This window comes from Homo sapiens, chromosome 4 (assembly GCF_000001405.40).
Source record: "Homo sapiens chromosome 4, GRCh38.p14 Primary Assembly".
Classification (NCBI taxonomy): Eukaryota; Metazoa; Chordata; class Mammalia; order Primates; family Hominidae; genus Homo; species Homo sapiens.
This window is the reverse complement of record NC_000004.12, coordinates 5947225-5961895: the sequence shown is the minus strand read 5'-3', so window position 1 is coordinate 5961895 and position 14671 is coordinate 5947225. Positions and strand designations below refer to the sequence as shown.

At 50.5% G+C, this 14671-nt stretch overlaps 1 protein-coding gene across 6 annotated transcripts in view, besides 1 other annotated feature; it reads left to right on the top strand.

Moving 5' to 3' along the window:
• C4orf50 (chromosome 4 open reading frame 50) overlaps positions 1-14671 on the top strand; it is a 120960-nt gene that overhangs the window by 56651 nt on the left and 49638 nt on the right. For 2 of the 6 annotated variants that reach the window (XM_017008893.2, XM_047415663.1), the window contains 2 exons: positions 2270-3361; positions 4229-5194. In XM_017008893.2, the coding sequence (XP_016864382.1) occupies positions 2270-2521 (252 nt within the window). In that variant the 3' untranslated portion in view covers positions 2522-3361; positions 4229-5194. Of the gene's footprint in view, positions 1-2269; positions 5195-14671 lie in introns of those variants that run through there. The other 4 variants (XM_047415667.1, XM_047415664.1, NM_001364690.2 and 1 more) reach the window with 3 other exon arrangements.
• Positions 5095-5646: an enhancer, noted in NCBI's record as "H3K27ac-H3K4me1 hESC enhancer chr4:5957977-5958528 (GRCh37/hg19 assembly coordinates)". NCBI's record gives its function as "activates a minimal SCP1, AML or CMV promoter by ChIP-STARR-seq in naive and primed H9 embryonic stem cells {active_cell/tissue: H9 hESC(naive and primed)}" and the evidence as "EXISTENCE:reporter gene assay evidence [ECO:0000049][PMID:30033119]".

The window sequence follows — 14671 nt, the reverse complement described above, 5'->3', positions numbered from 1 at the left end:
GTTTTGAAGGGCAGTAACTAAATTTGTCACGTCACACAAATCTATTACTGTACGGTTGAGCTTAGCAAAAAAAAAGGAGAAGAGAGCTTTAGAGTATACAGACATGTCCTGAAAAGGCTGACAAATCTTTAGTGAATGAGGAGATGTTTCGCCCTCTATATCATTAGCCTCATCCTATCACTCGGCCACTGAAGATCCAACACTACATCCCTGGGTTCAGCTGTCACTGTGGTGGGGAATCAGGCAGGCTTGAGAGCCGTATGGCCTGGGTTCAAATCTTGCAGCAGGCTCCTATTAGCTGTGTGGCCTTGGGCACAGCACTTCACCTCTCTGGGCTTCTGTTGCTTCATCTGTATGATGGGATGATAATAATAGCACTTATCTCCTTGGATTTTGTAAAGATGCAATGAATCAATATGTGGAAAGTGCTTGGAACGACATATTGCAAGAGCTCAGTAAATGTTCACTGTTGTAGACTGAATCCTAGGAAACTGCCAATATTATACTACTCTTTCCCTCAGAAACAGTAATTTCATATGGCTTAAACTATCCTTATCATTATTATTATAGTTGTTGTTTTTGAGATGGAGTCTCCCTCTGTTGCCCAGGCTGGCGTGCAGAGGCACGATCTCGGCTCACTGCAACCTCTGCCTCCCAGGTTTGAGCGATTCTCCCGCCTCAGCCTTTTGAGTAGCTGAGATTACAGGTGTGCACCACCACACCTAGCTAATTTTTGTATTTTTAGTAGAGACATTCATTTCAAAACAAAAAGCTAAACTACGTTAAAATAAATCTATGCATTGTGACACTTCCTGGGGAGCCCTCAGTTCCTTGTCCTTGTCCTTGTTTGTCCTTCCATGAAGAGACAGCCACTTCCAGGAGGGGACAGAATTGGACAGGTAGCGGCTTTAGTATAAACAGGGTTTTACCATGTTGGCCAGGCTGGTCTCGAACTCCTGACCTCAGGTGAGCCACCCACCTCAGCCTCCCAAAGTGCTGGGATTACAGGCATGAGCCAGGCCGACTATCATTATTATTATTATAAGATGGAGTCCAGACTCCTGATGCGCACATTAGTCAGCCCAGAATGACCTTGCGTTTTAAACACATAACAGAACCCTGCTCCTCCCCAAAAGCCGAGCTCAGACACTGCCTCCATGAGGCCTTCCCAGCTCCTCAGTGTGCAGTCAGTACTTCCGTCCTGGAGGCTTCATCAGCACCTGTGTGGGTCTCTCTTCGGGCTTGAACCCTGCAGCATAATATTGAGTTTATGTGTCTGCCTCTCCCACTGGATTGGAAGTGCTCTGAGGGCAGGGACAAGGTCAGGCTTGGCACATAGTGATCGCCGATTCCCTGCCTCTGCTGTCCAGCCTCTTTTTCAGCCGTCTTCCACCAGTGAGGCAAAAGGCCCTGCTCATTGCAAACCTGCGGCTGCTCTTGCCTCCTGGAACTGGTGGAGAAGTCGGCTCCATTCTGCTCATCTGTCTGGCAAGGCACTGACACACCTGCCACACCCTTTAGAGGAGGGAGAAGAGGCATTAGCAGGACTCACATGTTACCTGGTGAGGCAGTCCTGCCTGTCATTTGCGGGAAGGTGCCTGAGAGGTGTGAGATGTTGGTCGTGAAGGGATCACAGGTACAATAGTGACTGGAAAGGAGACGTAGAAAGAGTGGAGGTTTGAAATCAGATGGGCTTGGCTTTGAAGTCGAAGCCACTTCAGAGCTAATACATTTAATGAAGGCATTTAGAATCTCTTAAACTGTTAAGTGGGTTTTCATCTATAAAGTGGGCCTGATGATAGCTTGTTGCAGGAACTAAGTGAAGGCAAGTAAGATGGCACATTTGGGGAAAGCCCTGAGATGTGCTGGGCATGAGGTTTGCAACCAGCAAGACATGACTTCCCCTTTCAAGGGAAGGTCACTTTCTCTTATCACCGGGAAGGAGAAAATTTATAGAGGATATCCACTCTACAGGAACGCCCGCTCATGACTGTATTGTCAGGCACCTGCCACATGACGTGGAGAGGGAGCCTCACGCTGCCCCAATCTCATTTTCTGACCCAGAACGCAGTGATGACAGCATGTGTCTCACTGAACTGTCACCAAAGGAAGTGAGCCAATGTGTGAGGAGTATTTGGTGCCAGGCACAGAAAGTGCCCCGAAACCGTTAGCTATCACTGTCATCTCTTCCTTTGATTAAATGTGTGAATGGAGGGGCTTTTACAAACATGTGGACGCAGAGACCATTTCATTGTCCTCTTGCCTGCAGCTCCCTCTGTCCTTGGTGTCCACGCTTGATCCTGGAACGTGCCTGGCAGCGGTCACTGTGGAACCAGGTCTCCCCGCACAACGTCTGCAAGAAAAAGGCGGAATGCCCTGTCCTGCCCTCCAAGTCGATAACGTCCCAGCACCCTCTGAGCTCCTGAGCCCAGCAAGGATCCTGGCTTTTCACCAAGAGCTTAGACAAAGCATTTGCAGCAATTCCCAGGTCCATAAATCACCGCTGGAGTTAGAAATGTAATAGGGCCACTCATTCTCCGGAGCCATTTCATAGACTCCATAAATATTTGAAGCAGAACCTTCAGAGAGTGCTTTAAGAAATTGGTAGCAATCAGAGCCCTCATTTAGTGGCAAGTGGTTTTGCCTTCGGCTTTGGGATTTTGTGTTCATTGTCAGAGCTTGAGAGAAACGCTGGCCTGTGCCTGGCAAATTCTGAGGAGTTTGGCTTTGGCAATGTCAAGGCAGCATAGGAAATATTTACTGTACCAAAACCTATTGAATGATTGGTCCAGAGGTTCTCAACTGGGCACAGTTTTAGCCCCCCAGGGAAAATCTGGCCATGTCTGGAGACATTTTTGGTTGTCACAGCTGGGACACTGCTACTGGCATCTGGTGGGTAGAGGCCAGGGATGCTATGAAATGTCCTACAATACCCAGGCCAGCCTCCTACAGCAAAGAATTACAGCCCGAGGGTCGCCAGTGCTGAGGTCGAGAGTCCAGGACGGATCTCATAGCTCCCAACAAGATCAGCCATGGAGAATTGTTTTGTTTTGTTTTTTCTCTGCCCCCGGGGTCCTTCCCATGTTTTAAAAGATTTTTTGTCTACTAAGTGAAACGCCTAAGTCACCATATATTTTACATTTAAAAACATTAAAACTAACCAGAACTTTCTAATCAGTCCATCCACTCCAAAAACGTCTGTTGATATCCACTGGATGCCAGGCAATGTGGCATGAAGGAGAAGAGACAAGTCAATGTTGATCCTGGCGCCGGGGACCTCACAGGACAATGGGAGAGATACTCCTGTGAGTAAATCAGCACGCACGCAAGTGTCACATGTGCCCTGAGCAACGGGATGAAGGTAAGGGTCCGTTCTACTTGGCTTGGGACAACTGGAAGTCAGCCACAAAGGAATGGCTGGGCAGTGTCCGGTGGGTGAGGTGGGAAGGGTGCTGCTGTACGAGGGAACGCATGTGCAAAGGCCCTGAGGCATAAAACTGAACTGTGGATGTGCCCCTGGAGGGGAAGTGGGCAAAGCATGCTCTTGTCAAGCCAGCTGCAAGCAGTCACTGCATCGTTCCCATCCAGCACCCCTTCCTTCCACCGAGAACAGAGACTCGTGCCCCGAATCAGGTGGGCGACCCAGGAGAAGAGCACTTCTATCCTGAGGGCAGCCCCCCAAAAAGAGAGTCTAGGGGGCTTGGACGACACACACCAGACCCTGACCCAGGCTCACCCACCAGAGATGTCACCTCTCTCTTTGGGAAGGGGCTGAGGAGGGGCTTAAGGGAAAGGCCAAAGCCGCTACCTGTCCAATTCTGTCCTCTCCTGGAAGTGACTGTCCCTTCATGGAAGGACAAACAAGGACAAGGACAAGGAACTGACGGCTCCCCAGGAAGTGTCAAAGTGTATAGATTTATTTTAACGTAGTTTAGCTTTTTGTTTGAAATGAAAATTACACAGAGTTCCCGTAGACTCTTCCCCGGGCTTCCCTTGATGTTAACATCTCATGTGACTTATGTTGTACAATTATAGAAACTAGTGGGTTTTATTTCGAGGAAAATTGGGGAGCCATTGAGACGTAAGAAAGGCAGCCTCAGCACATTGAGTTCCACCCTTTAAATTCGTTTATGGGGTTTTCTGATGGGTTAGCACATTCATCCATGTATTCCTGGATTGATTTACCCACAGATCTGTCTATTTATTTATTTATTCAATATGCATTTAGTGACTGCTGTGCGAGTGTCTGGCTGGATGCTGCTGGGGAAGAAGTGAAGATGATGCTGTCCACCTAGGTTTTCAGGGACCCCCCTGGAGACCCTGTGGCCCCGTTACCACCCCTCAAGAATCCCCAGATTGGAAACCACTGCGGTGATCCCTTTGTTGGTTCAACCACCCCAGGGCTTCCCTATAATTTCCAAGCAGGAAGTGACCTGCAGCACTGGTTTGGTGATCCGCCTTCTGCCTCCCTCTGTATTTTGGGACAATGTCATTAGCTTTGAGCATCAGGAACATGACAGAGAGAGGACAGAAACCCGGTGCAGCCGAGGACAGCCAGCTGAGCCCTTGCTGAGCCAGCGAGATGCAGCGTGGTGCCACCACATCTGGTCTCCAGGAGTCCCAGGAGCTCAGACGTCCGTCGTCTTGTGACTTCATGCTCCCCTCTGCCGCGCTCACGTGCTGGGCCTGGGCAGAAAGGCAACCCAGGAAATCCATTAAAGCAAGCCAAGACGACCTTTGCAGCGTAACCCAACGATTCCCTAATAAATCATGTTTCCAAGGCAGAGCCACTTATTCTCCCGGGCCATGAATTGCCGTCTGGGTCTAGCACTTTGGGTCGGCTCAAGCTTTGTGCCGTGGCTCCCTGGGGCACAGTACAGGATGGCGGACTCCCCTCGCCTGGTCTGTAGACCCCAGCATTTGGAAGGGCACATGGTGGCTCCTTGCCACCCATCAGATGCTCCAGGGGCAGGACCTGCTCTGGCAACCCAGTAGGTTCAGGCAGGAACTTGGCACACAGGAGCTGGTCTCAGGCTGCCCCACAGGCAGGGAATGACTACGAGTGACCCTGAGGCCTCTGGAGACCAGCCAGACGGTCCAGCCTGGCTCTGCAGCAGAAAACAATTTGTCACACGGACTGTCAGCAAACAACAATGGCGGACTTCCCTGGAGGCGGAGCCCTAAACCCTGCGAGGTAAATGCACCCCTCCGCCACTGCACAAAGGAGCCCCACCTCGGCGTTTAGGCAAATCAGAGGAGAGGGTTGGCTTGGCCTGAGGCCAAGCAGCAGAAGCTTTAGTGCAACGTCCCTCCCTGCTGCCTGGCTTGTTTTCCTGTGCTCCCGGGAGGCCTTCTGCTTGAGCTGCAAAGGAGTTCTGCTCAGCAGATGCTTCTCCGAGCACTTGTCAGGACAGGTGAAGGGCTGGGGTGTGGTCACAGGAGTCTCACTCCAGGTTCCTGTCCTCCAGAGTTTGCTCTGACTGACATGAACAGGGACAACACAAGGCCCAGGGGCCGTGGAGTGGGCGGCTGACCAATGAGCAGTCAGGGAGGGCTTCCTGGAGGAAGTGCCCTCTGAGTTGAGCCTTGGAGATGAGCAGGGATCAGCCTGGGTGAGGAGGCCTCCAAGCTAGGAGAAATCATGAGCAAAAGCCCAGGTAGGGTTGGGGTAGGAAATGGTGGTAGAGATACCTGGCTTTCTGTAATCCTGGAGTGGAAGGTTCCAGAAGGAAGACATTGCCTTTTTTGTGATCCTGCTGTGTGACCCTTTCTGATGTTCCCACAATGAGGAAATCACCTAACCACACACTTCTCACAACCTATCCCCGTGGTTATATGCGTGACTGTGTATCTGAGGGTAAATTGCTAAGAGGAAATCCTGGGTCAGAGGAGGTTAACATTTGTCATTTTGTTGGCCTTGGCCAAACTCCACTCCTCGCCCTCTTTGAAGTTGTAGCAGTTTTTGAATCTACTTGCAGAGCTTGGGGGTGCCTGGGGCCCCCAACCCTGCCAGCACCCGCCTGTGATGTGTGGATTCCATTTAGCATCACAGACAGGGCCCTGCACTGACAATGATGCTTCTGAGTGGGGGAGGTGGGAGTTAGCAAGCAGGCGTTTGCTTCCTGACTCCACCGGAGGGGCCAGCTGCGTTTCCATCTGCAGGTGCTCACAAGCAGGAGTGACCTCAGCTGGGAGGCTGGGATCTGGCTGCCGGGGATGACTGATAGAGCACTGGGCAGTTTGGAGGCTGGTGAGGCGCTGAGAAGTGGCCTTTGGGCTCAGCCAGGAAGGCTGATATGGTCCTGCGTTCCTATCCCCATCCACCACGCGGCAGCTGTGGGCCCTCTGCCCAGACCCCTTCAGGCTTGGCTTTCTCCTGGGAAAATGGAAATTACAGCCCTGTGACATCATCTTATCTCATGGAGCCTTGAAAGGTATCACGTGGCCAGTGCCCGGCGGTGGCATTCACAGCCCAGGTGTGTGACCACCCCTCGTCCTTTCCCCTGTAACGCTGGAGGCAGGTGACCCAGGAGCCAAGCACACACCCCCGCCTGGCTTTGGACCCCAGCTCTTCCCCTTACCCCACCTCTCCCCGCCTCGGTGATTTCATCTGTAAAATGGGGTTGCCTGCCTCCAAGGGCCGTGGTAAGGTGTGAGTGGGTTAGCATCTGTGAAGCGCTCAAGGAGGGCCCTGCGACATGCTTAGAGCTATGGAAGTGCCGCCACTGCTTTATCTCCATGCTTGTCATTTTTAAAAAACAGAATGAAAACAAATCACTTAAGGTGCAGGTGGGAAGGAGAGGTAGGGGCGGGCGCTCAGAGGGAGACACGCTCACAGCTGAAGAGCTCAGGAGGAAGACAGCAGGGGTCAGAGGGAAGCAAGGCTGCTGTTTCAGGCCTGTGCACAGGGCAGGTCAGCAGAGGTCTGCAGGGGTTGTAACGAGCCTGTCCAGAGGTTTCCTTCTCAGCTTTAATCCTGAAAGTAACAGGAGCTCAATGCCTGCGGCTGCTGAATCTTCTCTCAGGTCTCTCCCAACCAGCATCTCTGGTCCTTTCCACTGGTCTGTCTTTTCTGGAACAGCCTTTCCCTTGGATTTGAGGGTTGTTTTGTCTGGGCCTTCTGGAGGTGGGCTGAGCTGGGCGTCTTCCATTCCCTAAATGTCCACATTTGTTTATCTGGAAGAATTTGCATCCCTGCTGCTTGGACCAGTATCTTTTACTTGGTTTGACCCTTTTTAAAATGAACGAATCGAATACAGGCTGGCACGTCACACTCCAGAGCCCTCCCCTCTCCATGCGCTGCCTGCCGTGGAGGCCTAGGTGGGAATGGAGGTCAGCTTTGCTGCCTGGAGCTGACCCCCCTCCCCCATCCTCCCAGTCCATCTTTTCTCCTCTCCTTTCCCTCCCAACACACATCACCTCCCTCATCTGCTACAGAATCTCAGCCCATTGCTCCCTGGGGCCCTCCAGCCATGGCTCTGTCTGAGTGGCCGAGAGTAATTTAGCATCGGGCAGCAGGTGCAGGGCTGAGGGCAGGGGTCGGGGGAGCTGGGCTCCCAGCTGCTGCTGCTTCCCCATGCCCAGCCCCGGGGCTGGGTCCCTGGTATTTGCTGGACACAGGACCAGACCCCAGATCAATACCCCACCCCCAGCCTGACACACACAAGGGGAGGCTGCAGACAGGAGCCTAGAGTAGCCATTCCCCGTTGTCACTGATAGTCCATCCATGGCACACACACTGACTGCTGTGGGCCTACTGTGTGCTGCTGCTGTCCTGGGAGCCAGGGAGGCAGAGCCAGCTCTTAGCTTGGCTGCTGAGTGGGGCTCACTGTCAGGCAGCAGGAGCCAAAGAGGCATCGACCCTGCTCTTCCAGAGCTACTGCATCTGGTTGTTCAGGTTGTGTCCTAAGCAAGGCACTTGGTCCAAGGGCAGAAGGGGCTGAAATCCAGCCGTACTCTTTCCTTGGGCTGTGCCTGTCTAGAGGAAACAGTGCCTTTTACAGAGGCTGCCTCAGCCGTCCTGGCCAAGCCTTGCCACCTATGTCCACCTGGAACGGGCATCTTTTTGCAATTCTGTACAAAGGCACTGTGTGGCCCAGCACAGTGATTTTTGCTGACTCAGATCTAGTGGTGCTGAGTCAGCAGCCTGTGGTGGGCAGGTCTTGGAGTCCCCCAGGCCCCCCAGCAGGGCTCTCCAGCTTGTACAATGCCAGAGGGGCTGGACCTGCCCCCATGCGCCCTCCTGCCAGACTCAGGAGGCTGGCACTCTCCCAGGACCTGGCCTGAGAACAGTCCTGCCGTGGGATGATGGGACAGTGCTCTCTGCTCACTGGCAGGATTAAGATACTGCTGTCACTGAGTCCTACCTTTTATCACCAAATAGTCCCAGCACCTGCATCCTGGATCCTCCTTTAGGAAGTTACTGTGACTCCACCCATGCCCAGCTTGAGGCCAGGTTAGTACTGGACAAGGACTCAAGGCAGTGGGGATGATTGTGGGGCTGCTGCTTCATAGCTGTGTGTCTCTAGGTGAGTCATTTAACCTCTCTGTGTAAGTCAACTGTAGCCGCAATATTACTGTGTAAGAAACCAGCCCAAACTCAGTGACTCCCAGCCATTCTTTTTCACTCTCTCGTCTGCAGCTTGGCTAGGGTTCGGCTGACTAGGCTGGGCTCAGCTGGGAGGCTTTGCTTCAGGCAGAGGGCTGGGATTCAGGCCCGCTCCATGCCACAGTAAGTCGCGTGAACATCAGTGGGGCGGGGACTCACACTCCTCTGCTATGGCAGGAGGAGGAAGAACTGACAGCATCCAGCCTCCTGCCTCTCACAGCAGACCTAGCACACCCCATGCAGGACAGGGGTCAAGACCAGAAGCAGCCACCCGAAAATAGTGCTCATCACAGAGGAGGCTCCCAGCAGCTTTTGGTTCCCTTCGGCTGTCCCTTGAATGTCTTCACAATGGCATAAAATATTTCTAGGCAAAACCAAAACTTACGATAGGGAATTCAAGTGGAGTCAGGGGTGGATGCACACAGCCGGTGCCAAAACGAGTCGTTCTTGGAGGCGGGAGTGTCGGTGTCGGGAACTGTGCGTGTCCATGGCCTCTCTGAGCACGCTCCTTCCTCTCCTGGAAATCTGGCTTTGTTTCTGGCTTCTCCCTGAGGATCTAAGTAGAGACATCCAGAAAAGAACGACTGAGTCCTCAAAGGAGCCAGCCAGTTTCTTTCTTTAGCGCTTGACCTTTTAGACAGTTTGGAATATCTCCTCCCAAGTTCCCTTAAGGACGGGAAGTGGTGAGGGAAGGGGTGGGTGGAGTAGATGGAGGTCCCCAGCCAAGGACCTTCCACCCGCAGCCAGGTGGGGAGCGGTGGTCCCTTGACTGTGCCGCCTGGGGCCAGAGACCAGCCCCGCTGCTTCTGAGGAGGGGCCAGTCAGTGCTCATGCGCTTCGCCCTGCTCCCTCGCCCTGGAGGTGCCTGCCGTCCCCACTGCCAGCCCTTCCAGGATTCTGGGGTGCAATTCGGCTGGCTTCTCATTGGCTTTCTGTGCAAATTCAGTAGAGCAAAGAAAGCTAAAAAGTGGCTTAACTTCTGTTCTCTCCTCCTCCTCTTCTTATCTATTGATCTATCTATTATCTATCTATCTATCTATCATCTACCCATCTATCTTCAGATCCCCTCCATCAGTAGGTCTTGTCGCCTCCACCCGGGATCCAGCTGCCTCTTACGACTCCTGACCCTGGTTCGTTGGCAGCTCCATCCCTGGTGCCTAGAACAGTGCCTGGCTCCTCCCAGGGCTTAATACATGCTTGTTGAATGACTCCATGAACTAGTTGATTCATTTTATTTTAATGGCACTTCCAAGCACATATTTTATTTTATCTCACTGTCTGTAGTGCAAATTCTGTTAGATGAGAAAATATTATCATCCCTTTTATTTTTGCTTTGGGAGTAGAGGGGGTAGGAAGGCAATGGTTCAGGGAAGAGCAGAGGAGGAGAGGGATTGGAACCCAGCTCCCCCTGCACATTACACCACCACCTGCTGCTGAAGGAGGAGAGGGCCCGAGTTTTGCTGGGGTTGGGGAAGAGGTCTGGATTAGCAAGAAGGTAGGTCGGACGGAGAGCGAACGCATTATAGGAAGGGATGGAGAAGAAACAGGAAGTGTGGAGGGCGGTAGAGCAGGGAGACTTCAGACTCTCTTCAGCTTTGAAATTTAATTTTTCTGTTGGAAGGACTGTTATTTATTTCATGCCGTCTGTCTTAGACCATTTATTATGGAATTTTATCTGTGCCATTGTTAACAGGGCCGTAAATTTCACCTCATAGATAAAGTGACTTCCTTTCTCAGCTTCACATTTGTATTTCTTTGCTCATGAAGGTTATTCTCTGAGTGTTGGTTTGCAGGGTAATCAACAATAACTTGAAATGAGACAGACTGGGATACCAGTATCAGATCTGTCATTAACTAGCTTTGGGATCTAAAGTGACATAACCTCTCTGAGCCTCAGTTTCTCATTCCAGGGTGTCTCTTGCTTCACAATCATGTGCCACCACCCCCCTTCATTCCCTCAATGCAGGTGGCTTTACTATATTGTTATGAGAAAAGTCACTTGGTTTAGCTATTTCACACTAAGTTGTGAATGATTGATAGTCTCTCAACTTTGTACAGAAAACTACCTTTTGTAGTTTGTAAAGAGGACGCTCATGGCATAGAGAAACTTTCAAGTTGGCAGGTTTGGGAGCAGTGAGACAGAATGAGGGGACTCTCGACGGGACCCTAGTTCTGGTCCAGAAGATAGCCAGCCATCCAGCTAGGAGCTGAGGGTCCATGAAAACAAGTGCAAGAAAAGCACATGCTGCTTTGGGGATGAAATTGTGGCCATGAGCCCCTACTCTGTTCTGTGTGTGGGCTGAGCACCTTGTCTCACTCATGCTTATGCTGACCTGGAGGGACTCTTGTCACTGCCTTAATGCCGTAGGTAATTCATTCATTCATTCATCCACCCATCCATTCATTCATTCATTCATTCCCATGATCAATGCTTACTGATCGTCTCCTATGTGCAGTCATGCTTCCTGGTGTATGGGATTCAGCTATGAACAAGTCATCAGGAAGAGAAAGGCTACACACAGATTCATATATATTGTGTAATTTCAAGTCCTGATCGATGTCGTGAGGGAAGAAAAACGGGGGTGGAGACAGTGGGTAGGAAACGAGGAGGGTGACCTTTTCTATTGGATGTTATCAGTCAAGATGTCCTGGAGGAAGTGCCATTTTGAGTGGAAAACTGGTTGAAGAAGGAAGGCAGGAGAGAGGTGAAGTAGCTTGCCCAGGAGAACTCAGCGAGTAAAAGAACAGATTCAACCCCATTTTTGAAAATATTTTGTTTTGAAAAATTTCGAACCTTGACAAAAGTACAGAGAATAATAAAAGGAACCTCACGTAGTCATCAGCAACGTCGACAATGACCAATTCAAGAACAATCTCGTTTTATTTCTACACCACCCCCTTCTCTCCACTCATATTATTTCAGAGTAAAGCTAGATATCATATCATTTAATTCATCTTTTAAACAGTCACGATACCAGCTCCATCACACCTCAAACAAATGACGACTCCTTCACTTCATCAAATATCCAATCAGTGTTCAAATGTCTAAGTGGCCTGTCAGTTTTATAGTTTAAAAAATATTTGCAGTTTGTTTGAATCAGAATGTTAATAAGGTCTTCGCACTGTGATTGTCTTTCTTTGTGATAAAATATACAGAACGTATAGGTTGGTGCAAAAATAATTGCAGTTTTTGCTATTTAAAAGTAGCACCAACCTATACAATTTTTTGCGCCAACTTTTGCACCAACCTATAAAATTTGCATTTTATTTACATTTTAACCTTTTTTTTTTTTTTTTTGAGATGGAGTTTCACTCTTGTTGCCCAGGCTGGAGTGCAATGGCGCGATCTTGGCTCACTGCAACTTCTGCCTCCCAGGTTCAAGTGATTCTCCTGCCTCAGCCTCTGGAATAGCTGGGATTACAGGCACCCGCCACCATGCCCGGTTAGTTGTTCTGTATTTTTAGTAGAGATGGGGTTTCACCATGTTGACCAGGCTAGTCTCAAACTCCTGACCTCAGATGATCCACCTGCCTTGGCTTCCCACAGTGCTGGGATTACAGACGTGAGCCACTGGGCCCAGCCCATTTTAACCTTTAAGTACATTTATTTACATTCCCATTTTAACCTTTAAATACATTTATTTACATTGTTATTCAACCATCACCACCATCCACCCACAGAACCCTTCTCATCTTCCCAAAGTGAAACTCTGTTCCCATTAAACAGTAACTCTTCATTCTCATCTCCCCCAGCTCCTGACAGCCACCAATCCACTTTCTGTCTCTATAAGTCCGGCTACTCTAGGGACCTGATCTGAACGGAATCACACAATGTTTGTCGTCTTGTGAGCAACTGGCTTGTTTCACTTAGGACAGTGTCTTTGAGGTTCATCCGTGTTGGAGCGTGGGCCGGCATTTCCTTCTTTTGAGGGTGAATAATCTTCCCTTGTCTGGAAGAAGCACATCTTGTTTGTTCACTCATCAATCTGTGAACCCTGGTGGTGTGTCTTTAAAGTCTTTTCATCTATAGCTTCTGCCTCCTTCTCTTTTTATTTTCTTGCAACATGCTGTTGAGGAAACCAGGTCACTGTGCTACAGTTTTTCACGGGCGCAGGGCGGGGGTCTTGCTGCTGTGTCCCTGCTGTGGTGTTTGCTGTGCTCTCCCCTCTGCTGTCTGTCCTTGAATTGGCCATTGGCTCCAGAGCTTTGATTTTATCCAGATTCAATGGTTTTATTTTCAAAACTCCTTTAAAGGTGGTGTTAAGTTCTTCCATCAGGGGCAAATGTCTGGCTGCCTCTCTTTCTCTATTTTTTTTTTTTTTTTTTTGAGATGGAGTCTCACTCTGTTGCCCAGGCTGAAGTGCAATGGTGCAATCTTGGCTCACTGCAACCTCTGCATCCCAAGTTCAAGTGATTCTCCTGCCTCAGCCTCCCGAGTAGCTGGGAATACAGGTGTCCACCACCACGCCTGGCTAATTTTTTTTTTTTTTTTTTGGAGATGGTGTCTCACTTTGTCACCAGGCTGGAGTGCAGTGGCACAATCTCAGCTCACTGCAACCTCTGCCTCCCGGTTCAAGCAATTCCCCTACTTCAGCCTCCTGAGTAGCTGGGACTACAGGTGCATGGCACCACACCCGGCTAATTTTTTGTATTTTATTAGAGACGGGATTTCACTATGTTGGCCAGGATTGTCTGGATCTGCTGACCTCGTGATCCGCCTGCCTCGGCCTCCCAAAGTGCTGGGATTACAGGCGTGAGCCACCACATCCGGCCTTTTGTATTTTTAGTAGAAGCGGGGTTTCACCATGTTGGTCAGGCTGGTTTCGATCTCCTGACCTCAGGTGACCCACCCACCTCGGCCTCCCAAAGTGTGGATATTACAGGCGTAAGCCACCACGCCCAGCCCTGGCTATCTCTCTTTCTGTGATGTTAGCATCCCTAATGCCCAATACCTAGATCATGAACTCATTAGTTACGAATTCGAGGTGTCCTATAATACCATTCTTTCATCACTTACCTGCTGGAAGACTCCTAGCAGCACTTCCCGTTGCCCCCTCTTCAGTTCCTCAGTTAATTGAATTTTCGCACCTGCAAAGCTTATGTGCTGTATGAGCCTTGCTCTCTCAGTCTCCAGCATTTACTAACTGCCTGCTCTGTGCCTCTTGCTGGGGTCACAGAGAGAAGTGTCCCCAACCCCATGGGTTGTCACAGACCTGTGGGAGAGAAAAGCAGGTTCATTGGTGGATTCATCCCAAATTGACCATGGAGGTAGAGGTACTGACAAGATCCTGTGGGCGCACATAGGGGACAGACCCTCCTGGAAGTGAGGAGTGCCTGGAAGAGGTGCCTGCATCTGGATGCGTCTGATCTCGTGCAGAGGCTGGCAGGGACCCTGGGGGCTGGGCTGACAGCTCCCACTTTTAGACTTTCTAAGTTTAGTTTTTTGAAACTGAAAGTAGATAAAGCAGTCCTGATTTTATCAGGGGCTCCCAGGGGGACGATCCAGCCGGTATCCTGGGGTTTCCTTCCATCTCTGGGACTTGGAAGAGTGTTAGGCTACAGCCTGGATGAGGCCACATCCAGGGCTCCAGTGGGGGTGAAAAAGACCTCAGAGGCAGCAAAAGGAAGGGCTGTGAGTGTGGGAGGCCCTCGGGGCTGCAGTGCGGGAGCTGCCTCTGCCTCTCACCAGTCGGTGATTTGAAGGGGCTCCCTAGCCTCTCAGGGGTTGTTTTCCCATCCGTTGCTTGAGCTTGCATTCTGCACGTGGCTGCATGGACAGGTCGCCTGGTTGCCAGAATTATTTCTGGAGGCTGCATTCTTTTTCCCCAAGGTGCCCCAAGCATCACAATTATTGAGGTCTTTTCCTCCTATGGTAAACTTCCTTTCTCATCAGCCACCTCATCTAAGAGCATTTGCCTCTTCCAGGGCCAAGGGCATTGAGTTCTTCTTAACAAATCTGCAACCCTGCTGGGGGCTTGATATAAAACTCTCCAACTGCTCAAATTGGGGTCAGTAAGGAAGGGAGGCCATTCTTGGAGGTCACACAGCTCAGCTTCATTCTTG